The 24,856-nt window shown below is 47.2% G+C and overlaps 1 long non-coding RNA gene across 3 annotated transcripts, besides 2 other annotated features; it reads right to left on the reverse strand.

Moving 5' to 3' along the window:
- LINC03025 (long intergenic non-protein coding RNA 3025) lies at positions 1–23,848 on the reverse strand. Of its 3 annotated transcripts, NR_147036.1 has the most exons (8): positions 23,277–23,848; positions 20,775–20,780; positions 18,529–18,680; positions 6,628–6,775; positions 5,199–5,422; positions 3,502–4,193; positions 1,765–1,875; positions 1–328 (listed from the first exon to the last, which is right to left on the reverse strand). It is a non-coding gene; the product is annotated as a long intergenic non-protein coding RNA 3025 (long non-coding RNA). The 3 variants fall into 3 exon arrangements; NR_147037.1 differs by lacking the exons at positions 18,529–18,680; positions 20,775–20,780; positions 23,277–23,848 and adding an exon at positions 1,497–1,565 and having other exon boundaries at positions 1,765–4,193; positions 6,628–7,964; NR_015361.2 differs by lacking the exons at positions 18,529–18,680; positions 20,775–20,780; positions 23,277–23,848 and having other exon boundaries at positions 1,765–4,193; positions 6,628–6,846.
- Positions 5,264–6,039: an enhancer, noted in NCBI's record as "H3K27ac-H3K4me1 hESC enhancer chr9:69179459-69180234 (GRCh37/hg19 assembly coordinates)". NCBI's record gives its function as "activates a minimal SCP1, AML or CMV promoter by ChIP-STARR-seq in naive H9 embryonic stem cells {active_cell/tissue: H9 hESC(naive)}" and the evidence as "EXISTENCE:reporter gene assay evidence [ECO:0000049][PMID:30033119]".
- Positions 6,040–6,814: an enhancer, noted in NCBI's record as "H3K27ac-H3K4me1 hESC enhancer chr9:69180235-69181009 (GRCh37/hg19 assembly coordinates)". NCBI's record gives its function as "activates a minimal SCP1, AML or CMV promoter by ChIP-STARR-seq in naive H9 embryonic stem cells {active_cell/tissue: H9 hESC(naive)}" and the evidence as "EXISTENCE:reporter gene assay evidence [ECO:0000049][PMID:30033119]".
- Positions 23,849–24,856: the final 1,008 nt, after the last annotated feature.

A 24,856-nucleotide genomic window follows, 5' to 3' on the forward strand; every position in this document is an offset into this window, starting at 1 on the left:
CATGTTCTCCCTAGGAATCTTAGAATGTGACTTTATTTGGAAATAGGGTTGTTGCAGATGTAATTGGTTAGGAGTGGACACTTAATCCACTATGACTGGTGTCGGTGTCCTTAGAAGAAGAATAGAGGGAACGCAGAGGCACACACAGAGAGGAGGCCATGTGATGATGGGGGCGGAAACTGGGGTGATGCATCTACAAGCCAAGGAATGTCAGGGCTTGCAGGAAACCCCAGAAGCGAATGGAAAGGCATGGAGCAGATTCTTCCTAGCATCTTCAGAGAGAGCATGGTGCTGCCAACACCTCGTTTTGAACTTCTAGCTTCCAAAACTGTGAGAGAAAAAATTTCTGTTGTTTTAACAAGACACCCAGTTTCTGGTATTTTGTGACAGCAGACCTAGAAACAGAATATACCCTTTAAACCACCACAGTTTTCCTTTTGGTTCCAAGATTCTTTCGTGTATGACCTGCGAGAGCCAAATCCAGTCTTTAGTTGGCCTCTCTGGAGCACGTGCAACTCATTTATTCCTTATTGATGCTTCTCCCCCACATCCTTCTCGGCCTCCTTCATTGCTTCCTAATCTCACAGCCAGCTACCGCATACTGGAGTCCCTGGGTTCATCACCACCTTTTCCCACTCTGTTCATGCTCCACTGCAATCTCATCCAAATACCAGCTCTCCTCCCACCCTCATGCTGATGATTCCCCAAGCCCTCTGGCCTAAGCCTCTCTCCTGAGATCTACTTTGAGTTCCCCACTGCCTCCTGGACATTTCCACCTAGAACTTGTACAAGCACTTCAAAAACTACATGGCTAAAATGGAAGTCATGGTCTAGAAGCCTCCTTCCCAAATAAACCTGCTTTTCCTCCTGTAACCTGCATGTCAATGAGAGGCTTCACGTTCACACAGGGGCATAAGCCAGACACCTGGCATCTTCTTGGGCTTCTCCTCTGCACCCTTGGCCGTGGTCACTGAAGCCAAAGGACTCTGCCCATAAGGGTTTGGGGAATGTATCCTCTGCATCCCTGCTGCAGCTGCTTCAGCTCAGCCTCTTACCACCTCTTGTGGCTAGCGGAGACCTCCACTACACCAGACTTTCATGCTGCTCTGGGAGCACTTTCCTATACCATCTTGTTTTAAGCCATTCCCCTGCTTCGAATGCTTCAGGGTTTCCTGGTCACCTGCAGGATGATGTCCTTAGCATTCCTCCACTTGGAATAACAATGCCTTGTAGCATCTGGCTTTCAGGAGTTTAGAGTGGAGGGGCTCTGCATTCAACTCCAGGACCTACCACATACTTGGTGCGTGGCCCTGGGCAACATACTTACTCTCTCTGTGCCTCAGATTCCTCACCTGAAAATGGGGATAATAATAGTACCTACCTCATAGGGTTGTTGTAAAGATTAAATGAGCAAATATGTTCAGAGTACCCGGAACTGTGTCCAGCATGTCGTAAGTGGGCACTAAATATTAACTGCTGTTGCTGTTAAGTATTACCTTTCCCCACTCATTTCTGTACAGCTTCCCATGTGCGTTGTTTTCCAGCCGATCAGAACACTCTTCCATCTTAGAAGAAAAAAAAAAAAGCCCTACCTGTGTTCCCCTGGCTCTTGGCCTTGACACACACTGTCTGGAATACCTTTCCCACCACCTCTCATCTCATGCTCCCTATGAACATACTTCAACTCATCTTTTCTAACCTAAGTACCCTCCCCTGCAGTCAAGCATGCTCTTCACTGAACCTTCGTAAGGCCCTTGTGCTCACCTCTATTGCAGCACAGATCACACTGCATTATAAAGGACCATCTCCTGTCTCTCTGTCCATCTTTCAGAGTTTGCTGTATTGATCTTAGTGACGTCAGCACGTGGCACTCAGCTAGACAAAGAAAGCAGGCTCAATAAAGGCTGGTAGAATTAAGTAAAGAATTGTATAAAGGCATTAAATAGAGATGGGGTACAAATATGTCCCAGGCTTCCTGGGATAGTCCTGGTTTAGGCCATGGTCCTGATATAATTACTAACAACACCCTCTTTCACTGTCAAAAATATCTCCTTTGGACAATACATTATAAGGTCACTCTAGGTATTAGAGCTGTGATTCTCACCCTATCAGGCCCAATTTTCTCTTTGCTTAACAGCTATTTTAGAATACCCTATGCACTATCTTTAAATGGGATTGATAGGCAATAGAAACTGCCAATAACAGAATTTCAAAAAAACCAATGTAATACCCTAAATAGAATGCTAAATGGAAAATGAAGGAGATTTTTTAAAAAGTAGCTTAAACTAAAATTATGTGTGCAGTATTTTGATGTGTAAATGCTTAGGTCTTACACTTCTGGCCAAGATAGAGTAACAGAGACCAAAATTACTTTCTGACCTAAAACAACAAAACTACTGGACAAAATATATGAAACTATGGCCCTCAAGCAACAAAGGGAATCAATCACTGGAATCAAGCATCAAAGGGCAGTGATCCTCAAGAGATGAGAAACAAATGAGGCTAGCCCCACAATTGACCTCCCTAACACCTTAGAAAACTTTCCAGGCCACAGCACAGGAAGAAAGAATGCAGATGGAACTCAGAGATCTTCCTGAGTTGAGAAGACAGAACTGTGAGCCTGGGAAGGCCAATGTGGCTAGAATTCATAGGGCAGAATATTGAGGAGGAGAGGGCTGTACAGAGACAGAGCTCTGGAAATCTGAAGATAATACTTACCCTCCTTGACTGTTTAACAGAGTAGTGACCAGAGTATGCAGGTATGAAAATCGCCTGAGAGGCTGGACCCGGTGGCTCGCACCTGCAATCCCAGCACTTTGGGAGGCTGAGGTGGGTGGATCACAAGGGCAGGAGATAGAGACCATCCTGGCAAACATGGTGAAACCCCATCTCTACTAAAAATACAAAAATTAGCTGGGTGTGGTGACACACGCCTCTAGTCCCAGCTACTCAGGAGGCTGAGGCAGGAGAATCTCTTGAACCTGGGAGGCAGTGGTTGCAGTCACCCGAGATCGAGCAAAGCATGGGCAACAGAGCAAGACTCAGTCTCAAAAAAAAAAAAAAAGAAAGAAAGAAAAAAGAAAACTGCCTGAGAATGGAAAAAGAATCATCCACGAAGAGAGCCAGCCCCTCTTCCCCCCTGGCTCTTCGGACCCCGATCGCAGGGTGGGGAGGCACCTCGCGAGGCGGAGACTGAGAGCCAGCACCTCTTCCCCCACTGGCTCTTGGGATCCCCATAGCAGTGGGGGAGGCACCCCCCGCGAGGAGGGGACTGACAGCCAGCCCCTCTTCCCCACCTGGCTCTGAGGATCCGCGATGGACTCACAGCCTGTTTACCATATTGTGAGTAATATCATCTCCACCTCTGGAGATTACGAACTCCTTCACAGACGGGTGTACACCCTCGGTGTACAGAGGGTGTACATCCGTCTGTATTGGGAGTAACATCATCTTCTTCCTCCCTGAATATTAAGAACACTATCAAAGGGGTGTTTCTACTACCTGCGATATCGCGTGTCATATCCTCCCCTCCCACGCTGCATTAAAAACAATATCAGTGGGGGCGTGTCCATCTGTAGGGAAAAGAAAGAGAGATCAGACTGTCACTGTGTCTATGTAGAAAGGAAAGGAGGCACCCCCCGCGAGGCGGTGACTGAGAGCAAGCCCCTATTCCCCCAGTGGCTCTTACGACCCCCATCGCAGGGGGAGGAGGCACCCCCCGCGAGGCGGGGACTGAGAGCCAGCCCCTCTAAGCCTTCTGGCTCTTCGGACCCCCATCACAGGGCGGGGAGGCACCCCCCGCGAGGCGGGGTCTCAGAGCCAGCCCCTCTTCCCCCACTGGCTCTTAGGACCCCCATCGCACTGGGGGGAGTCACCCCCGCGAGGCGGGGACTGAGAGCCAGCCCCTCTTCCCCCGCTGGCTCTGAGGATCCTCCGTGGACTCACAGCCTCTTTACCATATTGTGAGTAATATCATCTCCCCCTCTGGAGATTACGAACTCTTTCACAGACAGGTGTACACCCTCGGTGTACAGAGGGTGTACACCCGTCTGTATTGGGAGTAATATCATCCTCTTCCTCCCTGAATATTAAGAACAGTATCACAGGGGTGTTTCTACTCCCTGCGATATCGCGTGTCATATCCTCCTCTCCCACGCTGCAATTAGAAGGAATATCAGTGGGGGCGTGTCCACCTGTAGGGAAAAGAAAGAGAGATCAGACTGTCACTGTGTCTATGTAGAAAGGAAAGACATAAGAGACTCCATTTGGAAAAAGACCTGTCCTTTAAACAATTGCTTTGCTGAGATGTTGTTAATTTGTAGCTTTGCCCTAGCCGCTTGGCCCCAGCCACTTTGACCCAACCTGGAGCTCACAAAAACATGTGTTGTATAAAATCAAAGTTTAAGGGATGTAGGGCTGTGCAGGACGTGCCTTGTTAACAAAATGTTTACCAGCAGTATACTTGGTAAAAGTCATCGCCATTCTCTAGTCTCAATAAACCAGGGGCACAATGCACTGTGGAAAGCCGCAGGGACCTCTGCCCTTGAAAGCAGGGTATCGTCCAAGCTTTCTCCCCATGTGATAGTCTGAAATATAGCCTCATGGGATGAGAAAGACCTGACTGTCCCCCAGCCCGACACCCGTAAAGGGTCTGTGCTGAGGTGGATTAGTAAAAGAGGAAAGCCTCTTGCAGCTGAGGTGGAGGAAGGCCACTATCTCCTGCTTGCCCCTGGGAACTGAATGTCTCGGTGTAAAACCCGATTGTACATTCGTTCAACTCTGAGATAGGGGAAAAGCTGCCCTGTGGCGGGAGGCGAGACATGTTTGCAGTAACACTGCCTTGTTATTCTTTACTCCACTGAGATGTTTGGGTGGAGAGAAACAAATCTGGCTTACGTGCACGTCCAGTCATAGTACCTTCCCTTGAACCTAATTATGACATAGATTCTTTTGCTCACATGTCTTCTGCAGACTCTCTCCTTATCATCACCCTGCTTTCCTACTACATTCCTTTCTGCTAAAATAATGAAAATCATAATCAATAAAAACTGAAGGAACTCAGAGGCTGGTGCCGGTGCAGGTCCTTGGTGTGCTGAGCGCCGGTCCCCTGGACCCACTGTTGTATCTTTACACTTTGTCTCTGTGTCTTATTTCTTTTCTCAGTCTCTCCTCCCACCCACCCAACTAGAAATACTCACAGGTGTGGAGGGGCAGTCCACCACTTCATCCACCTTCTGTCATATTGAAAGTAACATCATCTTCTTCCCTCCAGGATCGTGGGAACAATATCCCTGGGAGGTTTCCACTTTCTGCCATGTATGTAGTCATATCACCCCCTCCGCCGTGGAATATTATTAAGGACCATCTCACACGGGGGTGTATACTTCCTCCGATATTGGGAGTGACATCAACCTCTCGGTCTCTGAATATGAGGAAGAAAATCACAGGGCGGGTGTACACCTCGTGCTCTACGATGGGGAGTCATATCTGTCTATTACGGGGAGTAATATCATCCTCTCCCTTTCAGGATATAAATAACGATTTAACAGGCTGGGTGAACACAGCCTGCGATGCTGAAATTATTATCATCCTCTCCCCCTCTTCCTCCCCTGGCTCTTAGGATGCCCATCGCAGGGGAGCGAGCCACCCCCCGCAAGGCGGGGACTGAGCCAGCCCCTGTTCCCCCCCTGGCTCTTAGGACCCCCGTCGCAGGAAGGGGAGGCACTCCCCGCGAGGCGGGGACTGAGAGACAGCCCCCCTAAGCCTTCTGGCTCTTAGAACACCCATCACAGGGCGGGGAGGCACCCCCCGCGAGGTGGATACAGAGAGCCAGCCCCTCTTCCGCTCCTGGCTCTTAGGACCCCCATCGCAGGGGGAGGAGGCACCCCTCGCGAGGCGGGGACTGAGAGCCAGCTCCTCTTCCCCCCGTGGCTCTTAGGATCCCCATCGCAGGGGGTGAGGCACCCCCCGCGAGGCAAGGACTCAGAGTCAGCCCTTCTTCCCTCCCTGGCTCTTAGGACGCCCATCGCAGTGGGGGGATGCACCCCTCGCGAGGCGCGGAATTAGAGCCAGCCGCTCTTCCCCCCTGGCTCTTGGGACCCCCATCGCAGGGTGGAGGCACCCCCCGCGAGGCGGGGACTGAGAGCCAGCTGCTTTTCCTCCCCTGGCTCTTGGGACCCCTTCCCTCCCTGGCTCTTGGGACCCCCATCGCAGGGGGGGGAGGCACCCCCCGCGAGGCGGGGACTGAGAGCCAGCCGCTCTTCCCCCCGGCTCTTGGGACCCCCATCGCAGGGGGGTGGCACCCCCCGCGTGGCGGGGACTGACAGCCAGCCCCTCTTCCCTCCATTTTTCTTAGGACCCCCATAGCAGGTGGGGAGGCACCCCCCGTGAGGCGGGGACTGAGAGCCAGCCGCTCTTTCCCCCCTGGCTCTTAGGACCCCCATCGCAGGCGGGGGAGGCACCCCCCGCGAGGCGGTGTCTAAGAGCCAGCCCTTCTTCCCCGCCCACCTCTGAGGATCCCCATCACACGGGGGAGGCACACCCCGCGAGGCGGGGACTGAGAGCCAGTCCCTCTTCCTCCCGTGGCTTAGGACCCCCATCGCGGATTCTAAGATCCTTAGGACCGACCTGGAGGACTGTGGGTATTAGGTGTCCAAGAAGAAAATTCAGATCTGCCGACGACCGCAGGTACCTTACTTGGGATTTACTATTCGACAGGTGTCCGAAAGCAGCCCGGGATCCGAAAGAAAGCAGGTCATTTGCAATCTACCGAAGCCTAAAGGCACAAGGGTGGTGAGAGAATTCCTAGGAGCTGTGGGGTTTTGTAGACTGGGAATCCCAAACTTTGCAGTATTAGCCAAGCCTTTGTATGAGGTCACAATGGGGGCGGGGACCGGGAACTTTTGGAATGGGGATTCCAACAACAGCAAGTCTTTCATGACTTAAAGGAAAAACTTCTGAAAGCCCCAGCCGAGGGGCTACCCGATCTCACAAAGCCTTTTCCATTGTATGCGTCAGAGAGAAAAGATGGCAGCTGGACTTTTAACCCAAACTGTGGGGCCTTGGCTGAGGCCGGTGGCCTACATCTCTAAACAACTAGATAGGGATTCGAAAGGATGGCCCCCCTGTTTGAGGGCCTTCGCAGCAATTCCCTTGCTAGAACCAGATGCAAATAAGCTTACTCTTGGGCAAAACCAGAACAGAAAGGCCCCCCATGCTGTGGTGACTGAGAGCCAGCTCCTCTTCCCCTACTGGCTCTTAGGACCCCCATCGCAAGGGTGCGAGGCACCCCCGGCGAGGCGGGGACAGAGAGCCAGCCCCACTTCCCCCCCTTGCTCTTAGGACCCCCATCGCAGCGGGGTGAAGGACCACCCGCGAGGCAGGGACTGAGAGCCAGCCCCTCTTCCCCCCCTGGCTATTAGGACACCTATCGCAGGGGGGAGAGGCACCCCTCGCGAGGTGGGGACTGAGAGCCAGCCCCTTTTCACCCCCTGGCTTTTAGGACCCCCATCGCAGCACGGGGAGGCATCCCCCGCGAGGCGGGGACTGAGAACCAGCCCCTCTTCCCCCGCTGGCTGTTGGGACCCCAATCGCAGGGGGGGGAGGCATCCCCCACGAGGCGTGGACTGAGAGCCAGCCCCTCTTCCCCCCCTGTCTCTTGGGACCCCCATCGCAGGCGGAGGAGGTACCCCCGGGAGGAGGGGACTGAGAGCCAGCCCCTCTCCCCTCCCTCGGTCTTGGGACCCCCATGGGAAGGGGTGGAGGCACCTCCCGCGAGGCGGGGACTGAGAGCCAGCCCCTCTTCCCTCCCTGGCTCTTGGGACCCCCATCGCAGTGGGGGGAGGCACCTCCCGCGAGGCGGGGACTGAGAGCCAGCCCCTCTTCCCCCCCCCCGGCTCTTAGGACCCCCATCGCAGTTGGGGGAGGCACCCCCCGCGAGACAGGGACTGCGAGCCAGCTCCTTTCCCCCCCTGGCTCTTAGGACCCCCATCGCAGGAGGAGGAGGCACCCCCCGCGAGGCGGGGACTGAGAGGCAGCCCCTCTTCCCCCGTGGCTCTTGGGACCCCCATAGCAGAGGGGGGAGGCATCCCTCGCGAGTCGGGGAATAAGAGCCAGGCCCTCTTACCCCACTAGCTCTTAGGACCCCCATCGACGGGACCCCCCTTGATGCGGGGTGTAATAGCCAGCCCCTCTTCCCCCCCTGGCTCTTAGGACCCCCATCGCAAGGGGTTGAGACACCCCCCGCGATGCGGGGAGTAAGTGCCAGCCCCTCTTCCCTCCCTGGTTTTTAGGATCCGCGGTGGACTCACAGCCTGTTTACGATATTCGGAGTGATATCATCTCCCCCTCTGGAAATTATAAACTATTTCACAGATGGGGGTAGACCCTCGGTGTGCAGAGGGTGTACAGCCGTCTGTTTTGGGAGTAATATCATCGTCTTCCTCCCTGAATATTAAGAACAGTATCACAGCTGTGTTTCTACTGCAGGTGTGATTGGGCGTCACATCCTCCTCTCCCACGTGGAAATTAGAACCGATATCAGTGGGGGCGTGCACACCTTCTGTGATATTTAAAGTGATATCATCCTCTTCCCTCCAGGATCATGAGAACAATATCCCTGGGGGTGTACACTTTCTGCGATTTTGGGAGTAATATCTCCCCCTCCGCCTTGGAATATTATTAAGGACCATCTCACACGGGGGTGTACACTTCCTGCCATATTGGGAGTAATATCGACCTCTCGGCCTCTGAATATTAGGAACAATATCACAGGGTGGGTGTACACCTCCTGCTCTGTTATGGGGAGTAATATCTATCTATTACGGGGAGTAATATCATCCTCTCCCTTTCAGGATGTTAATAACAATATCACAGGGTGGGTGATCACAGCCTGCGATACTGGAATTATTATCATCCTCTCCCCCTCGGGATACCAGGAACAATATCACAGAAGAGGTGTACACTCCCTGCGATTTTGGAAGTAATATCCTACGCTTCTTCCGTGAATACTAGGAGCAATATCACCGGGTGGCTGTACATTCATTGCTATGTTGGGAGTCATGTCATACTCTACTCCCTGGATATTAGGATCAGTGTCACAGGGTGAGTGTACACCTACTGAGATATTAAAACTAATATCATGCTCTCCATCCCTGGATATTAGGAACAATATCACGGGTAGGTGTACACCCCCTGCGGTATTAGGAGAAATAATACGATTAATTATTAAGCATCAATCTTAATAATATTATTAATTGTTAAACATCAGTCTTAATAATTATCAATGGTAATATTAATTAATAGTATAACGTTATTAATCATTAATGATTATTTTAAATGTACAATTATGCATGATTAAAATTATCTGTATTAATGTCATTTTTCAATAATATTAGTTATTAATCTTAATATTAATTATTGTTTTATTACCAACATCACTTATGACTGATTTATGTAACATTGATTAATAATATCATTATTTTATTATTAATAGTGATATTGCTATTATTAATAGTAATTGTTAATATTTTTATCCATATTCACTTTTACTATCTCTATTGCAATTATTAATATCGATGATTACTATTAATTATTAATATATTTATTAATATTAATAATTAATATAACTGTTCCCGATATCTGTGGGGGAGAGGATATTACTCCCGATGTCGCTGAAAGTGTACACCCCTCTATGATGTTTCTCCTAATTGCCAGGACGTAGAGGATGACATTATTGAAAATGTCGCTGCGGGTGTACCTCCGTTCAGTCATCTTGTTCCTAATGTCCTGGGTGGGAGCGGATGATATGACTCCCAATATCGCAGGGGGCGTAGACATCCCCCGTGATACTGTCCCTAACGTCCAAAGGTGGAGAGGATGATATTTCTTCCAATTTCGCAGGGGGTGTACACCACCCCTATGATATTGATCCTAATATCCAGGGGGCGAGAGGATGATCTTAGTCTCACTATTGCAGGAGGTGTACACTCCCTAGGGATATTGTTCCTAATACTCAGGGATGGAGAGGAAGATCTCATTCCCAATATAGCAGGGAGTGGACACCCCTTCTGTGACATTGTTCCTAATAGCCAGCGGGGCAGAGGAAGATATTACCCCCAATATCGCAGGGGGTGTGCGCCCCCTTGTGACATTGTTCCTTATATCCTGGGAGGGAGAGGATGATACTGGTGGCAATGTCGCAGCGGCTGTACACACCCACTGTGATATTGTTCCGAATATCCCGAGGGGGAGAAAATGATATTACTCCCAATATCGCACGGGGTGTACATCCTCCCGTGATATTGTTTCTTATATTCAGGGGGAGAGGATGATATGACTCCCAATATCGCAGGGGTTGTGCACACCTCCTGCGATATTGTTCCTAATATCCCGAAGGGGAGAGCCAAATATTACTGTCAATATCGCAGGGGGTGTACACCTCTTTGGTAATATTGTTCTTAATATCCATGATGGGAGAGGATGATATTACTCCCAATATCGCAAGAAGTGTACAGCCGCCTGTGATATAGTTCCTAATATCTAGGTGGAGAGAGGATGATATTACTGCCCATATCGCATGAGTTGTAAAACCCCTTCCATATTTTGCCTACAATCCCGAGGGGAGAGGACGATACTACTCCCAATATCGAAGAAGGTGTACAACCCCCTGGGACATTATTGCCAATATCCACGTTGGGAGACGATGACATTACGCCCAATATCGCAGGGGATGTACACCCACCCCGGGATATTGTTCCTTATATAGAGAGGGGGAGGGGATGATATTACTCCCAATATCGCAGGGGCTGTACACCCCTCCTGTGATATTGTTCTTAGTATCCTAGGAAAGAGAGGATGATACTACACCCAATATCTCAGGGGGTGTACACCCACCTCCTTCAGATATTGTTCTTAATGTACTCCACCTCCCCTGACCAGGGATGTTGTTCCTCATATCCAGGGGAAGAGAGGCTAATATCACGCCCAATATCGCAGGGGGTGTACACAACCTCTGTGATGTTGTTCCTAGTATCCAAAGGTAGAGACGATGATATTACTGGCCATATCGCAGAGGGTGTACGCCCGTCTGTGATATTGTTTTTGATATTCAGTGGGGGGAGAGGATTACATTAATCCCAACATGGCAGAAGGTGTACAGACCCCGTGATATAGTTCCTAATGTACAGGGAGAAGAGAATAACATTACTCTCAATATCGCAGGGAGCGTAACCCCCACGACCCCGGAAATGGTTCCTAATGTACAGGGAGAAGAGAATAACATTACTCTCAATATCGCAGGGAGTGTAACCCCCACGCCCCCCGTATATTGTTCCTAATATGCAGCGGGGTAGAGGCTGATATTACTCCCAATATTGCAGAAGATGCACACACACCTGTGATATACTTCCTAATATCCAGCGGGAAAAGGCTGATATTACTCTGGATCTCGCAGTGGGTGTACACCCCCAAGCCCCCCCGGGGTATTGTTCCTAATATCTAGGTGGGAAGACGGTGATATTGCTGACAATATCGAAGGGGGTGTACAACTCTTCTGTGATATGGCTCCTGATATCCAGGGGGTGAGTGGATGATATTACTCTCAATAAAGTAGGAACTGTACACCACCCTGTGATTTTGTCCTTAATAACCACATGGGGAGAGGTGATATTACTCCCAATATTACAAGGGGTGTACACCTCGTCTGTGATATTTTTTCTTGTATCCAGGAAAGGACAAGATGATATTACGACCAGTATCGAAGACATGTACAGCCCCATGGGATATTGTTCTAAATATACAGCTTGAAAAAGGATCCGATGACTCCCAATATAAGAAGGGGTGCACACCCCGCCTGTGATATGAATCGTAAAATCTAGAAGAAGAGTGAATGACATTGCTTTCAAAAACACACGGGGTGTACACCCCGACTCTGATGTTGTTCCTATCATGTAAAGGAAGAGATGATGATATTACTCCCAATACCGCAGAAGGTATATACCCCCTGTGATACTGTGCGTCACAACTAGTGGGGGAGAGCATGATATTACTTCAAATATGACAGCGGCTTTACACCCCATCTGAGATATTAATCCTAATTTCCAGTAGCAAAAGTAGGATGTGCCTCCGAATAGGCCTGTGATATTTCCCCGACTATTTAGGGAAACACAGGATGACATGACCCCAAATGCCGCAAAAAGTGTACACCCATTGTGTGATATGGTCCGTATATGCGGAGGTGCAGAGGATATTAGTTTTCATATCGCAGGCTGTGTACACACACTCTGTGAAATTGTTCCTAATAGCAGGAAAAAAGAGAATGCTCACAACGGACACAGGTCACATCGCAGGGGTTGAGGCACCCCCCGCGGTATGGGGAGTAAGGGCCACCCCCTTTCCCCCCCAGCTATTTATTATGATCCACATTGCAGGGGTGTGAGGCACCCCCTGAGATATGGGGAGTAAGAGCCACCCCCTTCCCCCACCCCCCGGCTATTTATTACGATCCACATGTCGGGGGTGAGGCACCCTCCGCGATATGGGTAGTAACAGCCACCCCTTCTCCCCCCCCTCGCTATTATGATCCACCTCGCAGTGGGGTGAGGCACCCCCCGCGATATGGGGAGTAAGAGCCACCTCCTCTCCCCCCCCGAGTTATTACGATCCACGGTGGACTCACAGCCTGTTTACTATATTGGGGGTAATATCTCCCCCTCTGGAAATTATGTGCTGTTTGACAGATGGGTGTACACCCTCGGTGTGCAGGTTGTACACCCGTCTGTATTGAGAGTAATATCATCCTCTTCCACCCTGAATATTAAGAACCGTATCACAGGTGTGTTTCTACTCCCTGCGATATTGGGTGTCATATCCTCCTCTCCCACACTGAAATTAGAAACAATATCAGTTGGGGCGTGTACACCTTCTGTCATATTTAAACTAATATCATCCTCTTCTCTCCAGGATCATGGGAACAACATCCCTGGGGGGGGTGTACACTTTCTGCGATAAATGTAGTAATATCACCCCCTCTGCCTTGGAATATTATTAAGGACCATCTCACACGGGGGTGTACACTTCCTGCGATATTGAGAGTAATATCGACCTCTCTGCCTCTGAATATTAGGAACAGTATCACACGGTGGGTGTACACCTCCTGCTCTATTATGGGGAGTAATATCTATCTGTTATAGGAAGTAATATCGTCCTCTCCCTTTCAGGATATTTATAACAATATCACAGGGTGAGTGAACACAGCCTGCGATACTTAATTTTTATCATCCTCTCCCCGGCGGGATACCAGGAACAATGTCACAGAAGAGGTGTACACTCCCTGCGATATTGGGAGTAATATCATACTCTTCTTCCGTGAATATTAGGAGCAATATCACCGGGTGGCTGTACATTCATTGCTATGTTGGGAGTCATGTCATGCTCTATCCCCTGGATATTAGGATCAGTGTCACAGGGTGAGTGTACACCTACTGAGGTATTAAAACTAATATCATGCTCTCCATCCCTGGATATTAGGAACAATATCACAGGTAGGTGTACACCCCCTACGGTATTAGGAGAAATAATATGATTAATTATTAAGCATCAGTCTTAATAATATTACTAATTATTAAACATCAGTCTTAATAATTATCAATGGTAATATTAATTAATAGTATAACGTTATTAATCATTAATGATTATTTTAAATATGATTATGCATGGTTAAAATTAATTATTAGTATTGTCATTTTTCAATATTCGTTATTAACCTTAATATTAATTATTGTTTTATTACCAACATCACTTATTGATTTAATTAAGTAACATTAATTACCGATATCATTATGTTATTATTAATAGTGAGGTTGCTGTTAATTATTAATAGTAAACATTAATATTTTTAATCCGTATTAACTTTTACTATCTTTATAGTAATTATTTATATCGATGATTTCTATTAATTGTTATTATATTTATGAATATTAATACTTAATACAATTGTTCCCGATATCCGAGGGGTAGAGGATGTTACTCCCAATATCACAGAAAGTGTACACCCCTCTATGATGTTATTCCTAATTGCCAGGGAGTAGAGGATGACATTATGAAAAATATCGCAGTGTGTATACATCCCTTCGGTCATCTTTTTTCCTAATATCGTGGGTGGGAGAGGATGATATGACTCCCAATACCGCAGGGGGCGTAGACTTCCCCCGTGATATTGTCCCTATCATCCAAAGGTGGAGAGGATGATATTTCTTCCAGTTTCGCAGGGGATGTACACCACCCCTGTGATATTGATCCTAATATCCAGGGGGCAAGAGGATGATGTTAGTCTCAATATTGCAGGAGGTGTACACTCCCTAGGGATATTGTTCCTAATATCCAGGGACAGAGAGGATGATCTCACTCCCAATGTAGCAGGGAGTGGACACCTCTTCTGTGACATTGTTCCTAATGGCCAGCGGGGGAGGGGAAGATATTACCCCCAATATCGCAGGGGGTGTACACCCCTTGTGACATTGTTCCTTATATCCTGGGAGGGAGAGGATGATACCAGTGGCAATGTCGCAGCGGCTATACACACCCATTGTGATATTGTTCCGAATATCTCGAGGGGGAGAAAATCATATTACTCCCAATATCCCAGGGGGTGTACATCCTCCTGTGACATTGTTCCTTATATTCAGGGGGAGAAGGCGATATCACTCCCAATATCACAGGGGTTGTACACACCTCCTGCGATATTGTTCCTAATATCCCGAAGGGGAGAGCATATTACTCTCAGTATCGCAGGGGGTGTACACCTCCTTTGGAATATTGTTCTTAATATCCATGATGGGAGAGGATGATATTACTCCCAATATCGTAACAAGTGTACAGCCGCCTGTGATATAGTTCCTAATATCTAGGTGGAGAGGATGATATTACTGCCCATATCGCATGAGCTGTAAAACCCCTTCCATATTTTGCCTACAATCCCGAGGGGAGAGGACGATACTACTCCCAATATCGAAGAAGGTGTACACCCCCCTGGGACATTATTCCCAATATCCACGTTGGGAGATGATGACATTACGCCCAATATCGCAGGGGATGTACACCCACCCTGGGATATTGTTCCTTATATCGAGAGGGGGATAGGGTAATATTATTCCCAATATCGCAGGGGCTGTACACACCTCCTGTGATATTGTTCTTAATATCCTAGGAAAGAGAGGATGATACTACACCCAATATCTCAGGGGGTGTACACCCACCTCCTTCAGATATTGTTCTTAATGTACTCCACCTCCCCCGACCAGGGATATTGTTCCTTATGTCCAGGGGAAGAGAGGCTAACATTATGCCCAATATCGCAGGGGGTGTACACACCCTCTGTGATGTTGTTCCTAGTATCCAAAGGTAGAGACGATGATATTACTGGCCATATCGCAGGGGGTGTACACCTCTCTTGTGATACTGTTCTTAATATTTAGGGAGGGAGACAATGATAGTACTGTCCATATTACTGGGGTCACAGCAGCCCCGTGACGTTGTTTTTAATATTCAGTTTGGGAGAGGATGATAATAATTTCAATATAACAGGGGACAACCCCCCTCCGTGATGTTGTCCCTATTGTCCAAGGGAAGAGAAATGATATGACTCACAATATGTCAAGGGGTGTACATCCCCTGTATAATATTCTTCCTAATATCCAGGGGGGATTAGAATGATATTACTCCCAATATCACAGGGGGTGTACGCGACCCCTTTTATATTGTTTCTAATATCTCGGGAGGGAGAGGATGATATTACTCCCAATATTGTAGGGGTGTACATCCCTCCCGTGACATTGTTTTTAATATTTAGGTAGGGAGTGGATGATATTACTCTCAATATCTCAGAGGGTTTACACTCTTCCTGGGATACGGTTTCTAATATTAAGTGGGAGAGAGGATGATATTATTCCCAGTATCGCAGGGGGTGTAGATGTCCTGTTATTTTGTTCCTAATATCCAGGTTGGGAGAGGATGATATTACTGCCTATATCGTAGGAGTTGTACACCCCATCAGTGATATTATTCCTCATATTCAGGGGAAAAGAGAATGACATTACTCCCAATAGCGCAGGAGGTGTACACACCCCTTTGATATTGTTCCTAATACGCAGTGGAGGAGACGATGATGTTACTGGCCATATCGCGAGGGGTGTACACTTCCTCTGTGATATTGTTTTTAATATCCAGGGGTTAGAGGATGACATTACTCCCATGATCGTAGTGGGTGTACGCCAATTCTGTGGTATTGTTCTTAATATCCAGGGAGGGAGAAGATGATATTACTGTCACTATCGCAAGGGGTAGACACTCCTTCTTTGATATGGTTCCTAATATCCAGGGGGGAGAGTATGATATTAATCCCAAAATCGCTGTGGGTATACACCCCTTTCTGATATTGTTCCTAATATGCCGGGGGAGAGTCTATGATATTACTGCCCATATCACAGGGTGTGTACACCAGAACTGCTATATTGTTTCTTATTTCCAGCAATGAAGAAGTTGATATTACTCCCAAAATGGAATGGGCTGTAAACCCCCCATAAGATATTGTTCCTAATATCCAGGGGGAAAAGGATGATATTACTTTCAATGTTGCAGCAGGTGTATAATCTGCCTGTTACATTGTTCCTAATATCTGGGGTGGGGGCGGCGGGGTGAGAACGATATTACTCGCAATATCTCAGAGGGTGTACACTGCCCCTGTGATATTGTTCTAAATATCCGCTGGGGTAGAAAATCATATTACTCCCAATATCGCAGGTGGTGTAAACGCCCCCCGATATTTTTTCTAACATCCAGGTGAGGTAGGATGATATTACTCCCAATATCACAAGCGGTGTACACACCTTCTTTGATATTTTTCCTACTATTTACTTGTGGAGAGGATGATATTACTCCCAGTGTCAAAAGAAGTGTACAAGCCCCCTGTGATATTGTTCCTAATATCCAGGTTAAAAGAGGATGATATTACCCCCAATATCGCAGGGGGTTTGCTGTACACTCCGCCTGTGATATTATTTCTAATATCCAGGGGAAGAGAGAATAATATTACTCCCAATATCGCAGGGGCTGTACACACCTTGTGATATCTTTCCTAATATCAATGAGGGGAGGAGATGATATTACCACAAATATCAGAAGAGGTGTACACCTTTCCTGTGATATTGTTCCTAATCTCCATTTTGGGAGAGGATGATATTACTCACAATATCGCAGGGGTTATACACTTCCCCTGTGATATTATTCCTAATATCCAAGTTGGGAGAGGATGATCTTACTCCCAATATCGCTGGGGGTATACACCCCTTCTGTGATATTGTTCCTAACATCCACAGGGGAAGAGATTAATATTACTCCCAATATCCCAGGGGGTACACATCCCCACTGTTATATTGTACCTAATATCAAGGGGTGGAGAAAATGATATTACTCCCAATAGCGCCGTGTGTATACACCCCTCCTGTGATATTGTCCCTAGTATCCAGGGGCTAAAGATAGATATTACTCCCAATATCCAGGGGATAGAAGTTGATATTAAACCGAATATCACAGTGGGTGTACACAACTCCTGTCATATTGTTCCAAATATCCAGGCAGAGAGAGGATAATATTACTCAAAACATTCCTGGGGGTGTACACAGCCCTCTGTGATATTGTTTCTAATATACAGAAAGGGAGAGGATGATATTACTCTCAATAAACAGAAGGGTACAATTCCCATGTGATGTTGTTCTGAATATCTAGGGTGAGAGAGGATGATATTACTCCCAACATTGCAAAAGTTGTAAACACCTTCTGTGATATTGTTCCTAATATCCGGGGAGAAAGAAGATGATATGACTTTCAATATCGCAGGGGGTGTGCACCCCCCTCCCCGTGATATTGTTCCTAATATCCGGGGGAAAGAGGATGATGTTACTTCCAGGATCGCAGGGGGGTGTACACCCCCCTGTGATATTGTTTCTAACATCCAGAGGGGGAGAAGTTGATATTACTTCAAACATCGCCGGGGGTGTACACCCCACCTGTGATATTGTACTTAATATTTAGCGGGAGAGAGGGGGGTGATATTACCAATAACGTAGGGGAAAGTCAACCCCCTCTCCCCCGCTGGATATTACGAGCCATATGACAGGGAGGTGTCCACCCCCCACCATATGGAGAGTAATATCACCCTGTTCTCCCCCCACCTCCAGCTTCTTTCTGCTAAGGTCCCCTTGCCCCTCCAGGTGGCTTTCTTGGGGAAGGCATAAAAGAAATTACGTGGTTTTCTTGCTCAGATTTGTTCGCAAGTCCACGAGAAATACTCAGGGAGTCTTGCAAAAATCCGGTGTTACAGCAGCTAAGTCAGCCAGCTAGCCGTGCCCTACAGTTGAGATGGCATGTCATGATTCCCCTCTCTTTTACCTGCTGACTCCTCCTCAGCCTTCCGGACTCTGCTTAGGTGCCTCTTCCTCCAGGTTGTCCGCTCCTGTCCCCACCCTTCCTTACCTGCTCTCCTAATACCATGGGCTGATCCAGCGCAGCATTTCTCACACATCTTACAGCTGCCTGCCTCCAGTCTGTATCCGGACTCCACAACCTGAAGGTAACGGCTGCATCTGCCTTGATCATCATTGTATCCCTTGCTCCTACAACAGCACCTAACACAGAGTAATTCCTCAGTCAACATTTTCTGGATGGGTGAACAAAAAATAAATCTACACATCAAGTGAAAATTAGGCTGAGCAGAAATGAAGCAAGTGATAAAGTACAAGAGAAGGTTATACCTGTTATTCTAGGCATGCTAATTCTAATTTTAGAATTGCTGTGGTTATTTCATGTTACTCTGCCAGGCTTCAGTGTTAGGCAAGGGCAATTCTCTGTGTAAGCAGGGATAGCTTTCCTGAAAGGTCCTGTTGGTCCTGGGAAGTGATGGTACATGTGACTCATCCCTCAAACCAGAAGGCTAAGCTAAACTAGCAGGAGAGCTGCAGCAGGAACCTTCTGGCAGGAAAGAAACAGCATGCTCTGTGTACCACCCGTGTGTGACCGGAAATAAAGGAGGCCCACCATGTGAAGACTGACCAGGACGCAGAGAGAAGGACGTCAGGCAAGATTCCACCCGTGCTTAGGGACACAACATGTTTATTAGCATCATTAAGTACTAGCTGACATGCATAGAGCATTGAGTATGTGCCAGGCACTGTGCTAAGCACTTCACATACACTATTTCATGTGATCCCCACCATGGCCCTATAAGGTGAAACTTATAAATATCACCATTATATAGATGGGGAAATTGAGGCTTGGAGAGGTTAAGTTGTTTGCTTGAGGTCACAAAGCTGGTAAGCAGCAGAGCTGGAATCCAAACCAACAGAAATTCCATCTAGATACCCAACTCCTCACTGCCGTCTATCCTTGGAAACTAGACTAGTCTCCAAGGAAACATGAATCTACATTTTCTTTCAACTAATAAGAGCTCTTTCCTTACGGTAATTATTTAAATAGTTTTAATAAAAATTTAAAATCTATTTCAAGATTAAAGTTTCAAAGCCATCAAACATCAAATATATATGAAAATACATTTGTATATATTATAAACAGATATATGACGTGACATGAAGTGCTGGATCCAGTGCATCAGAAAATACACGCAAATATAAAATACCCGACAGCATTATGTAAAACATCAGCTGCTTGCCAAATCGGCATTAAATACTTAAGCACTGTGACCTGTTGCTTAAAGTATTACAAATCCAGCCTTATCGAAAAATCTCTATTTGTCCTAGGAAACTAATACTTTTTAAAAACAATAATTTGGTAATTTTAATAATATTTAGATCTATCTAAACTTAAAGCCTATATATTTACCACCCAAAAGGGTGGTAATGCTTACCAGTATTACAGACACAATAAATTTTATCAGGTATTTTTGATAATGTGCTAGGAATTGTTTGAAATATAAAGAAGAATAAGATTTCGTTTTCACCATCTCAGAGATTCCAGATAGTGGTGGACACAGAAACCCGTGAAAATAACTGCAGGATGAAATAGACGAAATTATAGAAGCCCTATGTACCATGGAAAAATGGACATTGACATGGAAATTTTATTTCATATGCATACTCTTTAAAGAAAGAAGAAGCCTAAAAAAGTTAGCTACCTTTGGTTTTTATTACTTATGTCTTACACTCAGGTGAACTTTTTTCTGTCTAATCTAATATCATTCAAATCCTGAGTCCTTTTAATTAAGTTATCCTAAAATGAATTTTCATGAACACAGAATTTGTGCTATTACTCTATCTGCACCTCATGGATATTACCACATTTTAGATTTTATGTTTTAAAACACAAAACAATATAAAACCTAAAGTTTTAACATAAAATGTCTTTGGATCTTCAACTAAAATACTAAAGATATAAAAAACTTTATTCTCCTCAAGATAAAACTAGATTTAAAATTGTCAGTGAAATAGTTGATTGATCATTTATATTTCTATAAATATATGGAAAATAATCTATTTTTTAATTGTAAGACATTACAATTTTAGATTGTATTTGCATTTAGGAAAATTTCACATAATCTTTACCAGATCCATGCTTACTCTGATAAAAATTTGTTTTTTCAATAGTTGATTCTTAAAAATATCTTGACTAATCCTTCTCCCTCTACAAACAATATTATTATTTGCCAATATTCAAAAGTCTGAATAAACGACCTTATCCCTGGGAATATCTTGCCAAAAAACTATTACCTGCAGCTACAAAGTCCAGAATGTCAACTTCTTCAGAACAAACAGTTCAGTTTCTCCCATAAAAAATGCAAGGGAAACAAAAAAAGAGGATTGAGGAAATCTAAAAGAGATATAATAGCCCATATCAACCAAACACAATACGTAACCCTTATTAGCATTCTAATTCAAACCAACCAACTAAACAAAAAGTTTTTAGACAATTGAAGATATTTAAATATTGCCTGGATAAACCGATGCTATTAATGGATTATTTAGGTGTGATAATGGTATTGTGGTTACATTGATGGGAATCTTCTTTTTTATAAATGGGGTCTTGCTGTGTTGCTCAGGGTGGTCTTGAACTCCTGGCCTAAAGTGATCCTCCAACCTCTGCCTCCCAAAGAGCTGGGATTACAGGGAGGAGCCACTGCATCCAGTCTCATTGATGGAATTATTATCTTTTAGAGAAATATTCAAAAATACAATACAATGATAGACTATCTGGGATTTGATTCAAAATAATTCAGTGGGGAGGGGACTGTCAGCAGATAAAGAAGACACAAGGTTGGCCCAGAGGAGAAGTACATACAGGTTAATTATACTAATCTCTTTATAAACATTGTTTGAAATATGACATAATGTATCCTATACAACTGATACCTTGAGTAACACAATAATAGTCCCCTTAATTTTAGGAACTACTGGTCATAAATATGCCCTTACATATAGACATCTCCTCTATACATAGCAAAATCACATTATTTGACAAAAAGGAAATCTCTTAGGCTACGTTTAATCTTATTGTTCTCTTTGCCTGGATTTGGGAATAGAAACTGCTTCACTGGCTAAGTAAATCATAACTGTCCCAAAATATTCTTAATTACTGATTTCAATAAACATATCCCTTCGTTCTAAGAACAACTAAGAAAATGAAGTTTATGTTCAGGTAAACCTGACAATGTTAAGGTAGTTGAGTAACAGGGAAGTAATGATTAACTGAATTTCATACTGGATTCTCAAATCCTTTTTCTTTTTCTACTCTAATGTTTCCTTTGGATGGGGCGAATTCTAGTATTGTTAGCGATCACCTATGTAACCTTTTTGCAGGTGGTGTATATGGAATCAATGAATGCTTAAAACCAATTAAAAATAATTTCAGTGATTACATGAAAACACAGCTAGAAAAACTAAAGTATTTTTGTAGAAATTACGAGAAGGTTACATTAACAATCAGAATAAGGTTACTATTTAGACTGTAATCAGGTGTCAATGTGGAAAGAAATTTCTGAGCATTTTTCCGGAAGGCTGGGGAGGAATGAGAATCATGACTCTCCACACTTCCAATAAAATGTGGTGAAGGACTGGTGCAAACTCTCAGAAGCCACCATTTGCTAAATCTCCCCGCCAGCCTTGTTAGTCCTTATCGCCGTTTGATTCCATTATTTTTCTCGTGGTTTCTGCTGTTTCTCTAAATTGTCTAACGACCGTTATTAAGTAAAAATGAATGAAACGGGGCCGTGTGATCTAGGCAGCCTGGAGATGAGATTTTGGAATCATAAGCTACATTCCAATGTATAAACAGATTTTATTCATTTTGGATACTCAATGTACACAGAATCGGCACTGTAGAATGTGACTGCCCTGCCAGAAGGCATCTGCTTGGGACTTCCTGGCAACCGATAGTCCCCTCTGCTTGCAACCCTCGGCCAGCCGCCGGGGACCCCTAGTCCACCGGTTCCTGGACGTTCTCTCTACTCTCCAGTGGCCACCACCTCCACTCCCACTCCTATAGTCCCGAACCTGCTGGCCTGAGGGTTCGCAGAGGGCCAGTCGTTGCGACAGCCCCGCGTCCCGGCCTCCTCGTCTCTTGGACCTTCACCCCAGGCCAGCGCAGCCCAGCTTCCTGGGCAAGTTTCACGCTACCAGGATCCAGTGCGGGGCGACGAAGTGGAGAGCTGTATCAAGACTCCGAAGAGAAATTCCGGCTTCGCGGGGCGGCGCGGAGCCCGGAGCTGCCCACCTCCGCCGCCTTGGGAAGGCGGCTGGGATTAGAAGGTGGCTTCGGGCCCGCAGGGAGTCCAGGGGAGGGATTCCCGGTACCGCCGGCACCTACGTCGAGGGGTGCCTGGGTTCTTGGGGACCATGAGAGGAAAAAGAACGAAAATCACACCAGGGAGGAAGAACGCGCAGAACGCCCCTCTGTGAAGCAGAGTGCTCTAGTCAGGCGTGAGCCGGAGCGCGGTCTGGGGGAGTCTGGCGGCGCCGTTCCCCGCACTCGGCAGAGGCTTGCAAGAAAACGCACAGCCCAGGGCGTGGGGTAGGGAACTGACCGCGCGAGTCTTTCGGCGCCTCTGGGTCTCGGGGAGAGAAAAGCGCTTCCTGGCACCGGGGGCGGTGGGACAGAGGCCAGGAGGAAGAAATCCGGGCCCTGGCCCAGGTCAGGCTTCCACCCCTGCGACCCGCAAGAGGCCCAGGCAGGAAAGGTGGCGTGCGCGAGTGGAGTTAGTGGTTCAGAAAGCAAACCTGGCCAGGTGCTACTGCCTGAGGGTCGTCGGGCGAGTTTCTTAATTTCTCCGAGTTACTTATTTCTAGTCTGGAAAACGGAGAATTCCATAGTGTCTTCTTCAGTGAGTGCTGGGAGTGCTAAAGGAGGATCCGGTGCCTGGCAGACCAGGAGCAGGGGGGAAACAGTTGGCCGATACTGTTACTATTATCAGCGTTATTAGCGGCCAGGACAGTGTGGGGGGCGGGCGGGGGTAAGGGGCCTCCCCGCGCCTCCCAGCCCTTCGCGCTCGGCTCCAGCTCTTTGGCTTCCTTCCCTGGGCAGCTCTAGGCTTAGCTCTCAGCCATTTCTCAAGAAGACGACCCCGAGGGTCGAAGACCACCCTTGACCCTTGACCATGGACTCTTCGTGTAACTTGGAAGAGCCGTGATTTTAAAACCCAGCCTCAGGGTTACAGAAGCCCGAGATCTGGGAGGCATCCGGGACCTCCCTCCCAGAACCACAGGGACCCGGCCTGGGATCCAGAGTGTGGCCTCTTGCTCTGTGCAGTCAGGAAGGCGGCCAGGTCTGGTCACCGCGCCAAGCACTACGCACCCCTGGGACGCGTCGTTGCGGGGGGGGTGGGGGGGCTGGGGCGCCTCCACGACGCCTGGTCTGCCCGGCAAGTGCTTGGTGTCGTTGGTGGGTTCGTAGCTGCGACAGGTAAACGTCCGTTCCGCGAGCCGGGCAGGGCAACCCCTGCGGGTCGCACCCGAAGGCCGGACCTCTCCAAGCTGCCTGGGTGCTTCCAAACAGGTGGACCCGAAGCTCCTGTTTGATCGGAGAATAACGTTTAATTTACTCCGCCACTGAATTGATTGTTTAAATATTCATCTTTGGATATGGTTTAACATTAGGCAAAAATTAGGAGCTTGGAGGCGGTTCCGGGAAGGGGTCTGACCCTCAGTCACCCATGTTCGTAGCTGTGTTGGTCTGCCCTCGGGCAAGAGAAGGAAGATAATTGGGAGGGTGCCAAGAAAGCCTAGAGAAAGTCCCTTCTGGGTTCAGCGGCCGGCTGTAGCCGCTCTCCCAGGACGTTTGTTGACAATAAATGAATGAAGGTCGGCCTGGAGACGTTTTCGCACAACGGACAGAGGGGAGTTGGACCGTAAACCAGCGAGAACCTGGCATGAAATAGGACCCCTCTATTCTCAGTTTGTTTCCAAACTCTTAGACTGCCCCAGCCCTGCCGGATTTGCTAAAAGTGGTCTATTTTGGACGCTGGTGGTGCTATGGGGCTGACGGCTACCTGTGCAAAGAAGAGGGAAGAATTGGAAGCTGGGGTCTGGGCAGCTACCAAAGGTGGGGCTTGGGAACTTTTCAGAACGTCCTCAGAACCGCAGGAGCCAAGAGGAAATCTCCCGTAGGGGATCTCAGGTAGGGCGTGCCAAGAAATTCCAAGAGACGGGATGGAGAAGAGAAGCCGGAGAAAAATCGGCCAATTAGACTCTTGTAAAAATGTGTGTCTCCATGTTTGTCCTCCCTCCTGAAATAAGAAATTCATAGCTGGGGGTGGGGAGTAGATGGGGGCTGGGGGAAAAACTTTCTCACATTCACGGAG

Source organism: Homo sapiens, chromosome 9 (genome assembly GCF_000001405.40).
Source record: "Homo sapiens chromosome 9, GRCh38.p14 Primary Assembly".
NCBI classification, from domain to species: Eukaryota; Metazoa; Chordata; class Mammalia; order Primates; family Hominidae; genus Homo; species Homo sapiens.